At 43.2% G+C, this 22,196-nt stretch overlaps 1 protein-coding gene and 1 long non-coding RNA gene across 8 annotated transcripts in view, besides 1 other annotated feature; one reads left to right on the top strand and one right to left on the bottom strand.

Annotated features, from left to right (window-relative positions):
* IGF1R (insulin like growth factor 1 receptor) overlaps nucleotides 1-22,196 on the bottom strand; it is a 315,992-nt gene that overhangs the window by 111,979 nt on the left and 181,817 nt on the right. The gene's annotated exons all lie outside the window — the stretch shown is intronic.
* Nucleotides 229-398: a silencer, noted in NCBI's record as "silent region_6858". NCBI's record gives its function as "represses an Ori minimal core promoter by ATAC-STARR-seq in GM12878 lymphoblastoid cells {active_cell/tissue: GM12878}" and the evidence as "EXISTENCE:reporter gene assay evidence [ECO:0000049][PMID:35858748]".
* Nucleotides 289-20,885, top strand: LOC124903561 (uncharacterized). The gene is made up of 2 exons (XR_007064773.1): nucleotides 289-12,552; nucleotides 12,656-20,885. It is a non-coding gene; the product is annotated as an uncharacterized LOC124903561 (long non-coding RNA).

Below are 22,196 nucleotides of genomic sequence, written 5' to 3'. Positions count from 1 at the left end.
CGCCTCCCTAATACTCCTGCTGCATCCTTGCGGGATGCCCACTTGACTGACAGACACTCCAGCCAGTCGCTGCCCGGGCCCCGCGGAAAGGTGGAATTTCCCAACGCAGCGATTGGCCGGCGGGGAGGGTGGGCCCTGGTGATTGGCGTGTTATTCGGAGTGGAAAGTAGTAAACAACCTTGGTCCACGGCGGCGGCGCGGGCGCGGGGTGCCCGCTCCCTCTTCCCTCACCCGGGGCGGGGTGGGGCGCGCGCGCCAGACAAAAGGAGCCTCAGCCCCTCGGAGGGGAGAGCAGGAAGGGCGCACACCACAGCCGGCGGAGCGGGCGTCCCCCGGAGCCCCTGCGCCAGAACTGCTGACTTGCAGCTTCACATCATTTTTGTTCTGTGGAAAACCGCAAAGGTTTTGTTTCCATAATTCGGCTCCTCTTCTTCGTCTTAGGTTTTAGAAAGTCTCCAAAGAGAATGGCAATTTAGTTCCTCCTCTTTCCTGCCCTCCACCCCAACCCTCCACCTTTTAAGATTAATTTTTAGTTCTGTCTTTGCAGAAGTTGTTTTAAATCCCTGTACTAAAAATTGTTGCTTTATTCACACAATACGCCATTAAGGGCACACGGGTGAATCAGATGCCCCGTTAGTCCCTTTCCTTGCAAGTTCCTGGAGCTGTGATCTCACTGGGAGGGGCTGAGTTTGGGAGCAGGCATAAAAAGAAACATGATGATATTAGGCTCACTTGACAAGAAATAAGCAGTTACACCTTGCCTTTTCCACACAGGATGTAGTTCACCCAGGCTATCATCTGACATTGCTAAGTCCCCTTCTGGTTGGTCTTGACTCACAACCCATTCCTCATTCTGGCCTCTCCATCCTCACAGGACCCCCAGCCAGGGGAAACTTCCCAGCTTCCAGCGGGAAGTGCTGCTTCCCCAAATTGGGCAGCACCTGGGGATGCCTCTAGATGCATAATCACCTCAGAGGTCCTGAGCCAGAGTCCAGAGATTCTTTCTGAGATTCTGGCAAGGCCCCGGGGTACTGATGGAGGACTGGGAAGGTAGGAGAAGGCCACGGGGAGGGGGAGGCTGGACACAGGAGGGATCTCCACTTCATTTATGTGCTCTTTGGTGCTTCGCTCTGATGGTAAGTCACGTTGTCACTCTTGGCCAGACAGCCAGACTGTCCAAGCTGAAAACGTAAACAAAAGCTCCTTGCAGGAAGCAACAGGGTGCAAACTTGCCACCTGGGGGGCCTCTCTGCCACCCCTTGGCCAGCCCTCTCCTCCAGCATCTGGCCCCACCCCGGCCCTGCCCGCCTGGCATGTAAAGCACCCCCTCCTCTCCAAGCATCCGTTCCTCAGCCGCTGTGTTCCTGTCGCAGGTCCCTGGATGGGCCACACACAAACCTTCACTCAGCTTATTCTTTCTAGGCCTTACCCTGCCTGCCCGGGAGAGGCCACTGTTCTCCACGGCTTCCCTTGCCCTGGCCAGCCCACTTCCTGCAGGAGTGCTCCGAAATCGGTTTTGGTAGCACTGTGTTAAGGTTGCAGATGGTGTTTTCAACACTGTACTCCGACTCTACTTGCAGGTTTCTCCACCTCAGTAGACCCTGAGCATACCAGGGCAAGGTGTTATATTCTAATTTGTGTCTCCAGTGGAGACACAGGTCCACAATATGCACTCAATCAAGTCTTGCCAAACATTTGCAGCACTCAGTTCTCGTCTTGTCCAACACTCACACCTGCTTCTGCTGCCCCCAAGTCAAGTACCCCTACCTAGTTTCTTGCTAACATGTTAACATGGTACCCCCCCCCACCAAGTGCCAAGCCCTTGTCCATCACTCAGTGATTCCCTGTACACATGCAGTTACTTGTAACGTATGCTGCTTCCTCTGCCAGTTATGCTTTTCTGACTTCTCTTCTTGGCAAATTCCTATTCTGTCTAAAAATCACTTCTTCCCTTGGCAACATGCCACAAGTTCCACCTGACTCCTCTGTGCTCCCAGAGCACCTCAGAGAGGCCTCGTTGCAACCTCTGCCATCTTCCGAGGACATGGCTACAGAGCCACAGCTGGCATGGTTTGCTGGAAGAACCAAGAGCTGAAAGGCAGATTTACCAGGTGGTGCCCCCCCCAGGTGTCTGCAGAACCCACATATTCCAGTCTCCAGACCATGGAAGCAGTGCTGTTTCCAGCTTGTCTCTGCCACAGGGTCCTTCTCTGCTCTCTCAGCCTGAAGGCCTCCTCTGTGTCTGTGAGTGGCTGGCTCCTTCTCAACCTTCATTCAGGTCTCCGCTCAAACACCACCCTCACCACCATGCCCACCTGCCAGCTACTATCACACAGACCTTCATTTTCTTCATGAGGTGATTCTGAAGAGAAAATAAGCTTGGGAGCTATCACCCTAACTTACTTATTCCCTCAGTGATGGAATTTGGGGGACATTTTCATCTTTTGCCATTTGAAACACTACAATGAACAACTGCACAACTGTCATTTCACATGTGTGCAAGTCTATGGGGTAAATGCCCCCTCTAAGATTGGTGGGTCAAAGAATACGTGTTTATAACCTGAGAGATATTGCCAAATTCTCCTCTATAGATGTGCTATTCTGCCGTCCTCCCAGCCATGTGGGGTTGTTTTCCAAAGAGTGTGTTATCAAATATTTTGGATTTTTTCCAATATGAGAAGTGAAAAAATGGTATCTTGGTGTAGTTTTAATTTGCATTTCTCGTATGAGTGAAATCAAACTTTTTTTCTATGCTTAGCTATTTGTGTTTCTTCTTCTGTGAGCTATCTGTTCAATACTTCATCCCAAATCCTATTGAACTGTTAGCCTCTTCCTTAACAATTTCTAGGAGCTCTGTTTTACTTTGTTTTTTTAAACAAGGGAGATTAGCTCTTTGTGATAGAAGTTTCAGATATTTTTCTCAGTTTGGCATCTGTCTTTGCTTATGGTTTTTGGCCATGCAGAAAGTTTTTTTGTAATTTAAATTCAATTTTTATGAATGTTTTCTTTTCTGGCTTCTGGATTTTGAGTTGAAACTAGAAAGGCTTTCTCTGCTCCAAGGTTATAAAAAGGAACTCGCTATGTGTTCTTCCAGGACTTTCATAGTTTTGTTTACACTTTTACCTTGGATTCACTTGGAGTCTAGCCTGGTACATGGTATAATGTATGAACCTAATTTACTTTCTTTTCCAGAGAAAAGAAACATGGCATGATTGGGCCATAATTTACATGCCCCAATCCAGTAAATCAAGAGTTTATCTTAGTCCCAATGATTTGTGAAGCTACCTTTATCGAATAACTAAATTTCCACAGGTACTTGCATCTACATTTGGACTTTCTATTCTGTTCCATTGGTCTGTCTCTTCATCTATTGGTATCTCACTATTTTAATTATTTAGGCACTATGGAAGTTTTTAATACCTGGTAAGGACTCCTTGCTCTTGTTCAGTTTTTTGTTTGTTTGTTTTTGTTTTAATGATAACCTCAGAATCTAACTAAAAGAAAAAAATCTGTTGTATTTGGATTTATATTAAATTGAAAAACTTACGGAGAACTGACATCTTGCCATCTTGCTAATGATGATTATTCCTGTCTAATAAATGTGGTATGTCTTTCCATTTATTCCAGTTGTCTTCTGTATCTTTTAATAGTATGGTTATCTTAAGGTGTTTTCTCTTTTTATTTTAATTGGATGTAGAATCTTCAGTAATATCATCTAGCAAGTTATTTGCATATTGTACAGTTGTATGATGATAAATTTGTATGTTATTTCTGGCAGAAGATGTTCTATTCTGTGCCTTTAGAAGGACACAATGGGATGGGGGGGAATCAAAGGGTGATAGTCTTAACAATAAATAGAGGTTGAGATCCTAATCAAGAATCAAAGCAATACATTCTGAGTTGGCATTCACAAATGAGTAAGTCAAATGGTGTGGGGCATAATGCTGGGGTGGCCATGGAAGAATTCTGCCCAACAGAGGATGATGTTCCTTAAGCTTCCAACACAGCAGGTTCAGAGAGGTTAGGAAAAATAAGCAAGGGAAAGAAACAAGTACTGATCTAACAATGACGGAAGCTGACTCCATGCCTTAGTGGATGCTTGCGGAGGATGGCACTATCTTGGCTGGGCTGACTGTATTAGCAATGCATGTATCTAAATCAGCTCTAAAACCCATAGAGAGACTGGCACTTTAGTGTGAACACGTAAACTGTGGGTGATGGTCTGTATTTCACATAAGTTGTGATCACTGCAAGGCTCTGCTGGTATTTTACAAGTCAAAAACAAGTTTCCTCTTCCACAGCCATATGTTTGAAAGATATGTCCCTTTAAGAATAATCAAACTCTCACCCAAAACATGTATTTTTCAAACCTAGAGGTTCCAACTTGAAATACTGGACCACAGGGATACTCAGCTCAGATCCTCTTTCAGAAAGGACTTGCTGTCCAGCTCCAGAGTGTCACTAGCAGATGCCCTCCAGCTGCTAGCTCTTCTAGGGTCCACTTCAACTTTTGGCCTAGGTCACACTCTTCCTAGGCAGCTCCTGGCCAGTAACTGAGCCCAGCAATGGTCCCAGGGCCCGGTTATATCCATCTAACAGGGGGCTCTGCAAATGAGCTCCCGGAGGGCTGGCAGAGTGTCTGTCCTATCAGAGTCCTGGTCAAACCGCTCCCCACACCCATCATCTTCCTCCTCTCTTCCTTTCATTGGTGTTATCCTCAGTAAACCTTTCACATCCCTAACTTCATCTCAGTATGTCTCCTAAAAAACTCAAATAGCAATGAAAATGTTTAGCAAATTTTGGGAAAGTAAAGGGGGGAATAAACATTCCCACATAATGTAGATCCAGACGATTCTGGAACTAGAAGTAGAAAGGCCTCATCACACAAGCCAACTAAAATGCACCTCAAAGGTTAATGTCATCGAATTTCAAAAGTCCTCGAAACTTCCATGGTTATAAACGAGCATTTCCTGCATGCTGGACTCTTCATCGTTGGTCTGGATTAATCCTCACTTCCATTCTAGGTGGTGGGTACAAGGACTTCCATTTTATAGACAAGGAAAACCTGATGTAAGTAAGTGGTAGAAAGCAGATTCAAATGCAGGCAGGACTACCTGGCTCCAAAGCCTTTTCCTTTCCAGATGGTACACTGCCCACATCTCTTAGTTTATCGGCACAGGGTCAAGAAGGTGGTGAGGGTATGGACTGACACGGCATCTACGGAGCTTTCCATACTTATACCAAGACGCCCCCCTGTAAAGAGTGGACTGTCCGGTAGCCGGGCAAGGTGGCTCATACCTTAATCCCAGCACTTTGGGAGTCCAAGGCAGAAGGATCACTTGAGGTCAGGAGTTCGAGACCAGCCTAGCCAACATGGTAAAACCCTGTCTTTACTAAAAATGCAAATAATAGCCAGGCATGGTGGTACGTGCCTGAAATCCCAGCTACTTGGGAAACTGAGGGATGAGAATCACTTGAACCCAGGAGGTAGAGGTTGCAGTGAGCCGAGATCATGCTACTGCACTCTGACCTGGGTGAGGGAGTGAGAATTTGTGTCCAAAAAAAAGAAAAAGAGTGAACTGTTCCGCCTTTGTCTGATGAAGGAATATAATAATTGGCAGCCATACACTATATTCCCGGGTCAAGGAATTCCTGGGTCATTTTCAGCAAGCCTAAAACAAGGTGTTCACACATTTATTTAAAAATATCCCAACAAAGTGTTGCAAAATTTCCCTTGATTGCAATGATTCTTTAAGCTGTTAACATTAATCTTGGGTGGATGCAGGAGTTGTCCACTGGCTTTCCAAAAGGCATCCAATGCCTTTAAGGCAGCATAAGAGAAACACTGCCCCTCTCGATGAACTGGGTCCCTGAGTCTGGCAGTACTGCCCTGTTCTCCACTGTGTCACCTATACAGGGACCCCTGAGAAGACCAGTGTGCATGAACCAGAGACTGGACAGTGCCTCTGTTACCATCACCGTGTGGTATCATGAAGAGGTAACCATCCCGAAGTCACCCAACTTGTCAGCAGAACTACTGGGAAAAGAGCTTAACTTTTCCTGTACTTAAATTCTTCCATATGTAGTTGGAGTTACAGGCCCCAAAGTAAAGACCTATTAAGCTTGCCTATATTGCTCCTAAATTCTCTACTCGTCTGTTCATTATTTCCAAATTTAATAAGGCCATACTGTTGTGTCTTCATCCTGGTCAATGCATCCAATGATACCTTGATAACTTTATCAGAGCAGTAGCTAGCAGAAGCACAGAGGCACGGAGGATGTTAAAACTGCTCAACACCACGGTACAAATGCATTGTCAGCTTATGTAGGAGTCTGCTTTTTATGCAGGCTTATGCAACTGGTGTAATTTTAAAATTTTATAAGCCATTTGAAAGAGCAACTTTGATATTAATGAAATGGGGAGAAATGTATATACAGTCAAAGAAAAGTGTCTTTCCTTTAGCTGATGTCAGAGACTCCCTAGAAATGAAAAATTATTACTGTCTTTTAGAAAAACAAAGGTTAAATGGAAATAGCACTGGCAGGAGTCATATCACAACAGCAAAATATAACAGGGCCAGGCAAACCAAGGATATTGTTGCAAATGCAGAGCCTTGATCAGGCTCATATCTCGAACCTTTTATTTTGTAAAGCTGCCAATTTTATAGCACAAAAATTTTAGTTAGGGCACCTTTAAGATTCACTGCATCTACTATGAGAAGAGAGAATGTCTTAGAAGAGTTTTTAAAAATACTACTTTGAAACACTTATGGGCAAACAAGAATTGGAACACTAATCACTGTAATTTCCCCACCAGGATCACTAGGTAAGACATTCAGAGAACTGGTGGAAGCAAGTGATGATTCAGATGCAGTAGTAGAACAGAAGATTGCCAATCAACTGCAAACAAAGTGCCGCACAGGCCCATCTCAACTGACAGCAATGGTAGAGAGAGAAGAGAGAAAGAAGAGAGAGAAGAGAAACGAGAGAAGAGGAGAGAGGAGGGGGAGGAGGAGGAAGGAGGGGGAGGAGGAAGGAGGAGGAGGGAGGAGGAGAAGGAAGGAGGAGGAGGGAGGAGGAGGGGGCAGGAGAAGGAAGGAGGGGAGGAGGAGGAGGGAGGGGAGGAAGAGGGAGGGGGAGGAGGAGGGAGGCGAGGAGGAGGGAGGGGAGGAGGAGGAGAGAGAAGAATATGAGAAGGGAAGTTGGGAGAGACACAGCCCGACTGACTCAGATTCCAAATTACATATGCACAAAGCCCCTCAAAGGTTATCATGCCCTATCTGATCCAGGGTAAATGAAAACTAAATACTGAGGCGCAATTCACAAGGAAAGTCAGAGTGTCTACACTGTTAACAACATACATTGAATAAAGTATTAGAAACATATTTACTCTTCTCCCTACTCTCGGTGCTACTGACCGTCTACTGAATACAAGGTACAAGAAGAGTTTGCTAAGTTTTGGGTACTGCCCAGGTCGTTCCACGGCTAACAAGGCAAAAACACTCATGTAAACTCCTTGGTGGGCCTGGTATGTTGTGTGTGGAGAGGGTGCCTGATGATGTCTTTGAACTTCACTTTTTGGTTTCTCAGCTATCTCAGAGGTCTGGCTGTAGAATTACTAATATTTTAAACAATGCAAATGTAATTATAGTTGAAGCATACTCTTTAACAGAAGGAGGGAAAGATTGGCATTTAGAAGCTTCATTCAACTTTTGGCCTTTTCAAGGCTAAATGAATCTTAGGGAAGAAATAAAAAGTTCCCATTGATTCACTTAAAAAAAGATTTCTTGCAATTAACAGATCTAAATCTATGAAAAAGGGAGCATTTATGGTAATTTCCATAATCTCTCACTTTCTCTAGACATTTCAAATCAAATTGTAATAATTATAAAATCCCTCCTTCTCTCTAAATACACACACACACACACACACACAAATATAGTTAATCAGCAAAACTTTTTCTGATCTCAAGGAAATGTCAGTTACATTTACACAAGCCTAACTAGTTTAAGCAATTTATTTGTAAGTAGACATGCCTCCTAGATTAGGAAAAAAGTGTATTTAGCTGTATGGCATGACACGCCCCCTACCCCAAACCGTAAATAGTTTTTTTGGCAGGGAGTCAGCAGAAGAGCTATAAAAACATCTTCAGGGTATAGAAAGATGTTCAGGACTTAGAATATACCTTTTCTCATGGTTCTCTTATCCCAACGTATAAATTGTGACAATTTGTTTAAAAGATTGAACTAAACTATGATATTCTCTTTGTCTTCCAAATTTATTTAGACTTGGTATCCTGTTCTTTCTCTGGAATTTCCTTTGCTTTTCTTTTTGTCAGTAAGCTAAATTACTTCTCCTCCCACATGCATAAAAGCATTAATTTATAAAACACATAGCCATATGTCATATCTCATGTAATTCTATTTTACATTCCACTGCCGCCCAGACTTATCTAACATGAACAAATAGATATTATTTACTGTAGTCAGAATGAGAATTATCTAATGCCACTTACATAGCCATAAATTGATTTTTGATTAATGTTTAAGCAAAAAGCAAACAAGCCCATCTGCTCTGAAAACAAACAAACAAAAGGAAGCAGCAAACGCATAGTTCACAGGAATTTCTGCAGTATTACTATGTTTCAGCGGCTGGTGAGGATGGAATTTTTTCATTGCTATCGTGAAAATATACTGCTTGACAAGAAGAGAACTGCATATATAGATGCAGCTTCTTCTCTAGCAACTGTTAATTTAATAGACTACTACTTATGGTGAAACAAAAAACAATCCCACTCTGAAGAAAGCACTGAAGACCTATAACCAGCGGTGAATTTCTTCCGTATTGCTCAGTGGAAACAAAAGAAAGCTCAAATGGGTGAGTTTTTCTTCTTTCAGGGTTGCTTTCTCTATGGATCAAGGTAAGAAGGAAGAAAAGCTAGGTCTCCTATCTATCTCACACAGCAGATTTTAAAATATTTTAAAAATATTTTAAATACTTTCAATTTTTTAATATTTTAAAAACTTTTAAAACTAACTACTGTATCGTGTACCTATGAAATTTCGTTTTCAGTGCAATTCAAAATTGCTAAGACAAACCAATAAGAGAAGTAGAAACACGACCAGAAGGCCCTGTCCTGTTTATTGGTATCATCTCTGAGGCTTCCTCAGTATCTCGCACAGTATCTGTCAGTTGACAGCTCTAATCCGTTTAGAGTTAATTTGTTCTGCGTCTATTATGCAGGTAAGAGAAAAAAACTGCTGCATTAGGTGGGAATTTCACTAATACCAATGAATTCCCAATATTCTAACTTTCTGGGGAAAAAAGATGCCAAAAAGAGTGAATGCATTTTCAACAAAAACAGCATGTTAGGATTGTAGCACAGCAGGTTGAAGGATGAAAGAATGGTAAGAGCAATTTCACAGCAACCAAAATGACACAAGGACACACATGCCGGTGAGCAAACAAGAGGCACAACTTAATGACGCAAGAGGAAGCAGTTTGACTTGCAACTTTCAAAATTAAATTCTAACCGTGGTAATATAAAGACAGCTTTACATCCCATTCACCACGTTACACATATTGCCATTTATTTGCTAACAGCAAAAATTCAAATGAGTGTACTTGAGTCTCTAAATATTTTCTACAAACGCTCACCCCCAGACTAAGATAGACACTGCCAAAGTGAACGAGTCACTGCATGGCTAGATTTCCATGTTGAAAATCTTAGGCTCATAGCAGAATACTTGCACAAATCCTACTGCATCTCCTTAAAAATCACTCTACAAGTTGCATCCTAAGAGTTCTTGTCAAAATTGTTCTTTAAAGCATTACACACATATGCACACTGGCCTAGAGAACAAGGATCTTTGTCTTTCTTTGCCAAAAGACAGTGTTTCCCCAGGCCTGTTTTAGCCTTCGACTGATGGTTCTGATTTTGGTTCAGAAAAATAATTGCATGACTGTCCTAAAGTGGAAAGAGAAAAACCTCAAAAATTGTTAACACATCAATTACATCAACCTTTTCTAATTACAACTCTGCATTTCATTATTCTGCAGGCAAAATGAGTACCTTAAGTCTAGAGCCCCAGGTAAACAAAGCCTTTCCCTGTCCTCATTTCAAAACTTTGTTTTTATAAACATTCCCCGTCCCCTAAACTGAACTACAGCAGCACAATGATCCTGTTGTGAGCACTGCCTTGACCTCTATAGGACAACAGATTGTTGTTCACTTAGCCCCTCAGAGTTAAATCAGTTTTAATACAGAAGTTTCTGTCTTATCAAAGGAAGTAAAGAAGTAAAAACAAAAAATGAACGTATACAAGCACAGATTTTTGAGCTTCGATTGTAGAGAAATGGTAGTTATGTGGCTTGCCAAGAAAGTGCATCACCTACTTCTGCTTCTGGGGACAGAGGTGAAGGGGTCTGTTCTGGAACTTTCTAAGGAGGCCATCTTCGTTATTACATCAGGGAAGTTTCTAGTCAAAATGTTATTCCTGTCTACAGGGAAAAACAAAAGCAAAACACAAAAGAACACTGCTTCTAATGGCATCATAGCAAGGAGTTTATCTAGAAAGATGATGCCAGCAGTCACCTCTTTTCCAGGAAGACAGAAACAAAAACCGTTCTCCTCGAGAGGCCAACAGTGTAGAAGCCCCTTTTCCAGAACTTTCCAAGGAGTAGGTGAACTTCTTTGTAAGTGTATCAGCACAGGGGAGAGTGGTGCTCCATGTTCCAAGGAAGAAAAGCAACCCACAGCTCCTCCTGCCCGTGCAGCAGATGACCAGAAAGACGAGAAAGGGAAACAAACTCCCATTCATGGTGAGGCTGCTTGTTTCTCAAACACACTTTTCCAATGCCTCCACAAGTTGTTTGTTTCTGTATTTTGAAAGCACTCAACATGCAGAGTATTTGCTAACCACAGGCAGAGTACCCAGTCAGGATGTACCAACTCAAACTCCTCCCTGGGGCAGGCAAGGATAAACAGGGAACAGGTAAGAGAGGCCTAAAAAGCCAGGTGGACAGAGACCACATGTGACCCCAAACAGAAACAGGCTGCTGGAAACTAACTCTCTCTCTCTCTAGCTGATACTTATTCAGCACTTACTGTATGTCAGGTACTATTCTAAAAACTTTACGTATAGTAACTCAGTTTTCACACAGATGCAATTATTTTCCATACTTTAGAGATGAGAACATTGAGGCATAGAGAGGTTAAGTAATTTGACCAAGGAAGCACAGCCAGTAAATGGCAGGCCAAGGATTTGAACCCAATCAGTATTTTTTTTTGTAGCTCATCTCCATGGAGTTAGTTGGAGTCTCATCAGCACTTCCTCGTACAGGGCTCCATTTTACTGATTTCTATCAACCACAGGACATACTTTTCTTTTTTCTTCGTACCCTGAAGAAGAAATGCACTAGGTAACTTCAATATGATGGCAGTAAGATTGTTTTTCAACACATACACACACACTTTCAAAAAAAACTTAGAGACCAGATGCGGTGGCTCACGCCTGTAATTCCAGCACTTCGGGAGGCTACAAGCGAAAGGAAGTCAAGACCAGCCTGGACGGCCAGGCGCAGTGTCTCACGCCTGTAATCCCAGCACTTTGGGAGGCCGAGGCGGGCGGATCACCTGAGGTCAGGAGTTTGAGACCAGCCTGGCCAACATGGTGAAACCCCGTCTCTACTAAAAATACAAAAGTTAGCCAGGCGTGGTGGCACGCAGCTGTAATCCCAGCTAGTCTACTCGGGAGGTTGAGGCAGGAGAATTGCTGGAACCTGGGAGGGAGAGGCTGCAGTGAGCTGAGATTGCACCACTGCACTCCAACCTCGGTGACAGAGCAAGACTCCACCTCAAAAAAAAAAAAAAAACAAAACAAAAAACAAAAACCCCGCCTGGACAACAAAATGAGACCCCATCTCTATAAATAATTAGCCAGTTGTGGTGGCATACACCTGTAGTCCCCAGCCACTTGGGAGGCTGAGGCAGGAGGACTGCATGAACCCAGGAGTTGGAGGTTGCAGTGAGCCACGACTGCACTACTGCGCTCCAGCCGGGGTGACAGAGTGAGACTCCATCTTAACAACTTAATGGTAAAGCAGGCCTCCAGTACACTTTCTCCTCCCTGTCTTTTCTTCTTTTCTGAAGATTACTACTTACTCACCGTTCCCCATTGGTTTAGATGATAACAGAAGAAACAGGACACTATAAAAACCTTATTTTGCACCACAGAAAGCAAGATGTGAAGGCAGTCAGGTTTGATAACAGTGCGCACTGTTTTTGCAGTATCTTTCATCACGAGGCTCTCACATCATGTGCTCTGAGCTCATGTAACACACTCTGCTGGAATGCCCCCATTCAAGAGGGGAGAGAGTCCGTGACAGTCCTCCCTGCACTCACTGTGCTAGCAAAGATGTCCGGGAAGGACAGAAAAGAATGTAATGTGCAATTAAAACAAGGGAGAGTGATTAATGTAGGCAAAAATTAATCACAAGGGCAGTGTCAAAGTTTGGTGGGACAACTGCGTGTTCAGAAGACACCTGAAAAAAGTAATCCCATGATAAATAACATGGTAAAAAGCTTAGATTGTGCCATTAAGTTTTCTTAATATTATGGATAAAATGACAACAGGCAAATTATTTTCTTTCCCAGGTGAAATGAAGAACCAAGGATCATCTGAGCAAAGACTCAAGGACCATTTGAACAAAGACATCCACATCTATACCACAGATGACTTGGCATCTATGGAGGAGTGGAGGTGAGCACCACTCTACCATGTAGAGGAAGCAGCCACTGTGGAGGCTGGGCTTGTGGAGATTCCTTCTGGATGCCCTCAGATCTGTCATTAATGGGGACAAAGCAGAATCAAGGGACTGCTCTATCTCATCTACCACTACCAGCTCCACCATCCAGGGTACTGTTCTTGCCACTGCATCTAGAAAGAAGAGGAATGCAATCTTGCAGTTAGAAAAGGCTGTCTCGCTGAATATTTATTCTCATTCCTCTACCCAAAACTAATGAAAATGTGAAGTCTGAGTGGTGTCTGAACCTAATATTTTCGTGTCCGAGGCACACAAGGTTGAGCTGCCACTTCTAGCCATCTGAACCACCCAGTGTGAGCATATATGTGGCTGGGAGGGTGGGTGGTGATGGTGGTGGTAGGGAGGTGGGGGAGACTTCTAATGAGAGGCAGTAGAGAGTAGGGTCTAAGAGTAGGTACTCTAGAGTCACACTGATTTCGGTTCAAACCCCAGGTCTGCCATTTACTAGCTGCACTTCCTTGGCCAAATTACTTAACCTTTCTGTGCCTCAATTTTTTGTCTCTAAAGTGGGGATAAATAGTTGTATCTGTGGGACAACTGAGTATATGGCAAGTGTTTAGAATAGTACCTGGCATAGAGTAAGGGCTGAATGAGTGTCAGCTCCAGCTGTCATCTAGGTGTAAGCTCACTGGCAGCAGGTGCAAGATTCTTTTGGATGGCTAACAAGCTACAGCTTTGGCTGACAGTGCTGTTTGTGAAACCCAGTGGCCTCTTCACTCCATAGTCAGCCTTCCAGTGCTCCTGCCCTTGGTGGCCTTGGCAGGAGCCTGGGGTTGAGTGGGGACTCAGACAACTGAAGCTCTCCCAGCAAAAGCAGGATCCCCACGTCTCCCACTGACACTAAAAAACAAATTCTTGAATTTTTCCCGGGTCTGCTGAGTGATCACAAGAGGACAGCTGGGGCTGGATGACAGAGCCTCAGCAGTGACAGGGAAGCCTGCTTACTTCCCTCATGCTCAGAGTGCCTTTTGGCCACGGGCTTATTTCAGCTGTCTTGTGTTCCATTTCTGAGGCTCTAAAGGGATGCTCTGGGAACTGGGATCTAGGAATAAATCAAGATGAGTGGGGCAAGGTTAATACCCTGATTAGATCAGCCTGGCCCAACGCCCTTTGACCTTAGAGTACTGGAAAAGTCTTGACAGGCAAGGGCATGAAAAGGTCATGTGCTCCAGGGGCACTGTCTTCAAAGAGGAGCCTTCCTGGGGTAAACAGGCGCATCTACCTTCTCAATAACAGGTTCAAAATTCAAGAAAGCAAACAGCATTCCCTAACTATCAATATTCCACTAAGTCCTAGAATAGTTTTAGTTTTTAACATCCCAGATAGCATTTTCAATTGTAATGCCTGGAATGAGAGGCAGAGGATCTTCAGGGTCACGTGCTATTTTTTATGGGTTTACATGAAGGATGCAGATGTCATTTTAATTTTTATCTTTCTAAACATAGTTTGGCCACCATCCCTGCTGAAGACCACAGTGAGTCCAAAGAACATGGTTAACTGAAATACACAGATAATCACAGAAATTACTTTTAGGCAATGATGTCAACTTTGTCCCACTGATGGAAGAAAATAAAAAAGCTGAAATTAGAAAATCTAAGTTTTTTCTCATAAAGGTGAACCCCAAACCTGTCCAATAATACTCTACTAAATAAAGTCTGTTAGTAAAGAAGGGATGAAAAAAATCAGTACCTAAAAGACTCTCAGGCCGTGAAAATGATTTTGTAAATTCTCAAATGGGCTTTGCAAGCCAACAGATCCAAATCACAACTGTGGTCAAGGCATTCTGCAGAGTCTCAATGCTAGGTGAAGAAGGCATCTTGGGAACCAGCAGACTGCCACTCTCTCAACATTGAAAAGATATCTCCATTCTTTGAAAGTCACTTTCAGCCACCCAGAAAGTTACCTGGAGAAAAGTATGGTGAATGAAACTGTTTAGAGTTTGAGAAGGAGCAGGTCTTTCCTATGTAAAAATTCCAATGAATAAATGACAATAAGATAGAAAATTGCCATTAAAGCATGGCAGTAATAATTATTGTAGATAAGCTCCACCAAAGCATGACAAGATCAGTGAGTGACAATGTGATGAGAAACAGGACCTTGGCCAGTTGTGGTTGGGAGGCTGAGGTGGGAGGCCAGGAGTTCGAGACCAGACTGGGCAACATAGTGAGTTTCTACAAAAAATTTAAAAATTGGTGAAGGCCAGGCATGGTAGCTCATGCCTGTAATCCCAGCACTCTGGGAGGCCGAGGTGGGCGGTCAGGAGATCAAGACCAACCTGGCCAACATGTGAAACCCCGTCTCTACTAAAAATACAAAAATTAGCTGGGTGTGGTGGTGCCTGCCTGTAATCCCAGCTACTTGGGAGGAGGCTGAGGCAGGAGAACTGCTTGAACCAGGGAGTTGGAGGTTGCAGTGAGCCGAGATTGCGCCACTGCACTCCAGTCTGGCGACTGAGCGAGATTCTGCCCAAACAAAAAAACAAACAAACAAAACTGGTGGGGCACTAATTAGTGATGGTGCACACTAGCTACTTGGGAAACTGAGATGGGAGGATTGCTCAAACCCAGAAGTCTGAGGCTGCACTCCCCTGCCTGGGCAACAGAGCAAGACTGTCTCAAAAAAAGAAAAAAGAAAAGAAATATGAAAAAAGAGAAACGAGACATCTGCATACTGTGAGTATCAGCCCTAAGATATCAGTAACAATGCGAAAAGCAGAAAATTTACACTGGAGAAACCTGGCAGGCACCACCTCAATCAAGTGTTCAAGGCTAAGAGATCATCAGTGGTAAGATGCTGACATCACACAGATGTGACGCACTGAGATGCAATGTCAATCTTGTAGTAGTCTTCCCCAAAATGTATAAAAATGAGTTTAATGATGAGAAACATTAGAACCAATTTGGAGCATTCTATGCAACAACCTGTCCATACTATTCAAAAATATCAAGGTCATGAAAAACAAGCAAAGATAGACACATTTTTACAGACTGGAGAAGACTAGATATAGTAAGTAAACACAATGAAGGATGTTGGGACTGAAAAAGGATATTAGTGGGAAAACTGGTGAAATTCAAATAGTCCATGGTTAACAGTATTGTGTCATTGTTAATTTCTTGGCTGTGAGAATTGGTGTATAGATTATGTAAAATGCTAACGTTAGGGAAAACTGGGTGATATTTTACAAACTTTTTTTTTTTTTTTTTTTAAAGAGACAGGGTCTTAATCTGTCTCCAAGACTGTTGTGCAGTGGCATGATCATAGTTCACTGCAGCCTGGAACTCCTGGCTCATGCGATCCTCCCACCTCAGCCTCCCAAGTAGCTGAGACTACAGCCACGTGCCACCACTGCTGGCTACTTAATTTCTTTTTTTTTGTAGAGATAGTCTCACAGCTTGGTCTCAAACTCCTGGCTTTAAGAGATTTGTCTTGGTTTCCCAGAGCACTGGGATTATAGGTATAAGCCACCATGCCTGGATGCTTTTTCAACTTTTTTGTAAGTCTAAAATTATTTCAAAATAAAAAGCTGAGAGAGAGAGAAAAAAAAAAATCAGTTCAGTTTCTCCCCGGCCAGTGGGGTCATCCTCACTACAAAGTTGCTGGTTTGGGCTCTAGCTCTGCGGATTTTCCTCACTGGACGAATTTCATAATTGTCGCTACCACTGATATTACACAATTGAGATTCTAACTGAATGGAGAGTGATGGAAGAACATGAATGAAGAAGTCATGCTGACATTGGGGAAAGAGAACTTACTGAAAATTTTTAAAATGTTAAATATTTTACATTATCTTCACAATCCCTGTACCCCCAACACCTTCCACAGCAAATCTCCCTCAACAATACTTCAGTAATCTGGCTAGAGCCCAAAACAAATACTTCTTATTCAGAACTTGGCTTTGAAGAAAATGCAGCCCTAACAAAATTTTAAGTAAGTTACTGAAGGATGCAGAGGCTTCATTTTACAGGAGTTAGTTCCAGAGGTGATTTTGGGACCAGCATTATTCCCAGACCCCAACCACATCTAAAGCTGCCAGGAGGGTCTGGCTTTTGATTCCTCTGTGACTCCTTTCCAGACTAAATCAATGTCACTTGGTTCCAACAACTGCAGCTCTTCCCTACTCTTTGACCTGCTGTGCCTAAAATTTAACTTTCCCAAATTGAGGAGGGTTCATCCTCCTTGCCTGGGTCAATCCTTGGGGTGGACAAAAGGTATTAAGACAACTATGGAAGCCTATCCACTCTGTCGAGAGAAACAATTACTCCTAAAGAAAATCTCTACTTAAAGCCACGATTAAAGTCACTCTCCTCTTCATCCCTCAACAACTTGCTTTGAAAGGGTAAGAAGGGAAAGAAGATGAGTGCTTCCACTTCGCTGGTAGGGGTGAATGGTAGGTAGTCCTATCTGCACTCTTTCCATCTAGTCCCCTACACATAATAGCAACAAGTGTGCTAGTTGTATGCTACAGTTGTTGTAGCCTCTTAGCAGAGCCTTCAAATCCTGGTGTGTGGGTGTAGGTCTGTGTGGGAAGGTGTGTGGGTGTAGGTTTGTGTGGGAAGGTGTGTGGGTGTAGGGGTGGGTGTGTGTGGGTGTAGGGGTGGGTGTGTGTGGGTGTAGGGGTGTGTGTGTGTGTGTGTGTGTGTGTGTGTAGGGGGGGTGTTCTCTTGCCCTGGCCACCTAAAAAGCCTAAGTTACTACTGACAAAGGATCCTATTCCTTTTCACTCAATATAAGCCTATAAGACATCTCAACACTCGCCATCTTACAAACATAGAGAAGCATCTGGGTGTCTGGGCGTGCCCTGGACCCACAAAAATCCCTAACCAAAACTGTTAGCTCTGACAACGGTTTAAGCAGAAGTAATAGCATATACCTCTGAAGGCAGAGGTTTGGTTTTTATTGCTAGGTTTACTCCTGCTCGTTTATAAGGATGCCCTAAATGCCATCTCCCAATGAAAACCCTTCCATGTCCAGGGGCAAAGGATGCTCTGGACCCTCAATGCTTGAGCCTACTGAACCATCCAGGACCACTTCGCTTGGCTCGTCTAGTGATGCAGAGCTGTTACATGGTTCTGCAAAGGATTCTCAGAGAGATTCCCACCTCACAGTCACTGCTTTGCTTTCAGATATTTCTGGTAACCCCCAGAGTTCAGTGTCTTTCTAGCTTGATTTGTCCCAACAGAATGGAGCCTTATTGAACCTATGGATCAATTCTGGTGAAATGTCAAATAAGGCAAAATAAAACAGAAGTAAGTGTGAAGGCAAGAGTTTTTACCAGAATCTGACCCTTTGGTGAGATAACTCACGTGACGGAAAGCTCTGATGATATTGCTGAAGCTGGAGTGTTTAATGACCTCCATTTTCTCAAGAGCATTTTCCCTGTAAACAAAGATGACAACTGTTACAGCCAGAGAAAGTGACAGCTTCTGAGGTTTCCACCATAAACACTTGCTGAGGCTCCACTGATGCCAGGCACCATGGTGATGCTGGTGATCTAAAGACAAGAGTCAGGCTTAAAAGCTTTGCAAACTCTTTCCCAAAAAAGGTACAGTCTAGGCAAAGTTCAAGCTGTAAACTTGTAACTTCAACATCAGCTGTTACATGCTCCAGCAATAGAATGGATTAATTTCTTGGGGACAGAGGAGAGGATATTAAGGGTAAAGAAGGATTTTAATTAGGAGATGACATCTGGCAAGTCCTCATAAACCCAGCAGCACAGAGCTGGCCACATAAATCAAACCCTTGTATTCAGGGTCCATACTATTACTCAACAAGGGTAATTCGAGTAATTACCAGAGTTATCATGATCCAACACATAAGTTCATTTGAGGACCCTGACTATGCAAGCATGAATATTTTTTTGGCTGCCTCTAGATAGCATGTTTATGAAAAACAGGTTAAGTTACTGGCTCCAAATTACTTTTTAATAAAAAAAGCAAACAATAAAAGCTTAAGCTTTTAAGATTTTTCTTTTTTGTTTTTAACCTGGAAAATAAATCTCCCTGTCAAAAACATGCAAAATGAATGATTTATGTGATATAAGCTTGGGTATCTGTGTTATTATTACATGACATTTCCTAACAGCTTATAATTGCCTTAAAGATTGTTTTGGAAAGGTTATACCTTCTCCCTATTCCCATTCCCTTTAAATAAACCCTTGTGTAATCTCTGGAAATTTTTAGACTACAACTATCAATGGGCCATTCAAAAATGGAGCCATTGTCAAGTCACCCACATGAAATAGTGAAGGTTTACAACCAAAAGAGAATCGCTCACTTCCACAAAATAGCTGATGGAAATACTGTGCTCCGGGGGCTTACGTGGAACAAACATTAGGAAGGTGTCTACCTGCAAACCCGCTCTAAGGCTGGACCAAACCAGGGGGTCCAGGTCAATCACAAGTACTGAATCAACCAGGAAAGTCCACAGAATACTGAGAGCCATCAATGACACCACTTTAGAATTTAACTGTTCCAAACCCTTTGTTTGGCAGATGGGGAAAGGAGAGGTAGAGGGAGATCAGAAGAGTCAATACAAGAATCTTGGCTGATTGGCTGGTTTTTCTAATATGGTTCATTCACCACATCATGTTATTCTATTGAAGTTCAGGAGAGGGTACCAGGGGATACCTCAACCCAAAATGACTTCTTCACAGTTTTAAGTCTAGGGGGAAAGGCCCATAATGTAGTCCTCACCACTTTTTCCTAGGAATGGCTAGCATCAGACATGACCTAAATCTGTAGAGCTAGTTCAACATTCAGGTTACCAAACAAAGTCATGAAAGAATGTAATTACTATCACAGACATAGACTGTCTAGGTTCTAAAGCAATTAAGCTGGTAACGTACTATTTACAATAAAAAAATTGGTTTCACAAACCTGTAACAGAGACCAGGTAAATGTGCCAGAAATTGTATAAACCATGGCATACCTTGTATCAATTTTTATGTAGACACAGCAAGCAAACACAGTTTTGGAAGATAATTCCTATATTCCAACTTAGCATAAGGTAATTAACTGTGTCTTAAAAGAGGAAAAGAAAGGAGCCTAGAGCTTTATTAGGTGTCCCACCTAACTTAAATTTGTTTTTCTAGAAAAAAACCATGCACTCAAGAAAGGCAATCAAGATCTACATACTTAATTCACATTCACAGAAACTTGTGAATATATCTGTAAAAGGATTATCATTAATCCTTCAAGCTCCTAGAGTAGGAATACAATACCCGGGCAGTGGTTCAAGAAATCTAACTCGTGAGAAGGTTACACATCTCAGGGGTAATCTAATAATGTAAACTTTTACAAACTTTCCTTCCTGGTCTCTTGCCTTCAGTAGGTCATTCATTTAAAAACATAATGAGCTCCTGGAATATGCTGGGGACCCTGTGGGGAATAAGGCACTTGTGATTCCTGCACCCAAGAGTGTAGCTGGGGCTACAGGAATGTTTTAAGACACCTCTTAACTGTTTAACCGCTAGTGTTTTAAGACATAATTCCTGCCCTCCTGGAGTTTACAGTCTCCTTGGGCACACAGAATCTGTGCATAATAATAGAATTACATAGAAGTAGAGGGACAGAAGACAAAAACAATGTGAGTTTGGGGCAAAAGGAAGAATTTCTTGGAGTCTAAAGAAAAGGATCCAGACCCAAGAAGCAGAGGAATGAAGGCTATTTCCAGTGTTGAGGCGTCCCAAACATGGCACTCTTGACATGCTGAAGCAGCCTCAAGGTCCCTGACCCCCCTTCCTCATCCTTTGTCTCTCGCAAAGCACAGGACAAGGCTGTTCTCTGAAGTTCCCTTACCCACCTAGAAACCAGATCCCCAAAGAGGAACACTACGGCCTGCAATTGCACCCTGCCATCCACCAGCTCAAGACTGAGGAATGCAACCATACCCAGACAGACTTTTTCACAAGACAATTTCTGCCTCTGGAGCGTGTTCAAATTCTAAAGAGCATCATTTACAAGTAAATTGCTGTCTCAGGGAAATATTCATTTTCCCTGAAAATCATTTACTCCTACACCCCCAATACCTTCTCACCAATAAATAAAGCATTTAAGGATCAACCATCTGGCCATTTTCTTGAGTTTTCATATTTTGTATGACTCCCATGCACACATATAATAAATTTGTTAGGTTTTTCTCTTATTAATCTATCTTTTGTTTTAGGAGTGTTGGCATGACCTTTTATGATCATGGGGAAGGAAGGGATCAACCCTCCACCGTCAAAGAGAAGAGAACCAGAGTCATCAAGATCGGAATGTGGATGGCACAAGCCAGGGCAAGAGGGTGAAGATGTCACACAGGGTGGGAAGCTGGGCGTGAGGTTCTACAACAGATAACAGTGGGCTATATTCATGCTAGAGCAGGGTCTATGCAAGGAGTATGCCACTGGCAGGTGGGTGGTGAGATGGATTCTGGTGGAGAGAAAGTGAAAATGGGTGCAAGAAATTCATTTTAGAACACGTTGAAATCCTAGGGTCAGATGTGGGTGAAATAAATGGAAAAGAAAGCATTTAAGTAGAAAGGAATTAGGAAAATTTGGTCGTAGATATAGTTTGAATGTTTGTTCCCTCCAAATCTCATGTTGAAATGTGATTCCCATTGTTGGAGGTGGGGCCTGGTGGGAGGTGTTTGGGTCATGGGGTGGATCCCTTATGAAGGGCTTGGTGCCCTCCCCACAGTAAAGAGTGAGTTCTCACTCTGTTAGTTATCTACCAGGAGATCTGGCGTCTCTCTTTCTCTTCTTGCCATGATACAACTGCTCCCCCTTCACCTTCTGCCATGAATAAAAGCTCCCTGAGGCCTCCTAGAAAATGATCAGATCCTGGCCGGGCGTGGTGGTTCACACCTGTAATCCCAGCACTTTGGGAAGCCAGGGTGGGGGGATCACCTGAGGTCAGGAGTTCAAGATCAGCCTGGCCAACATGGCAAAACCCCATCTTTACTAAAAATACAAAAATTAGCTGGGTGTGGTGGCGCACACCTGTAATCCTAGCTACTTGGGAGGCTGACGCAGGAGAATTGCTTGAACCCAGAAGTGGGAGGTTGCAGTGAGCCAAGATGGCGCCACTGTACTCCAGCCTGGGTGACAGAATGAGACTCCATCTAAAAAAAAAAAAAAAAAGATGATGATCAGATGTTGGAACCATGCTTGAACAGCCTGAAGAACCATGAGCCGGAAAAAAAAAAGCTAACCCTCTTTTCTTTATAAATTACCCAGTCTTGGGTATTCCTATGGACTACAATAGTCACTGATGACAGATTTCAAGATTTTCGGCTTAGGCTAGTGCACAAACTGTAGAGTCCAGAAAGCAGGTTTGTTTTTCACACACCCTGAGTCTGAGACGATGGGAGGCTTCCCCAGTGCCAGTGTC

This window comes from Homo sapiens, chromosome 15, assembly GCF_000001405.40.
Source record: "Homo sapiens chromosome 15, GRCh38.p14 Primary Assembly".
Classification (NCBI taxonomy): domain Eukaryota; kingdom Metazoa; phylum Chordata; class Mammalia; order Primates; family Hominidae; genus Homo; species Homo sapiens.
The sequence above is the reverse complement of the archived record's forward strand: the minus strand, read 5'-3'. Positions and strand labels throughout refer to the sequence as shown.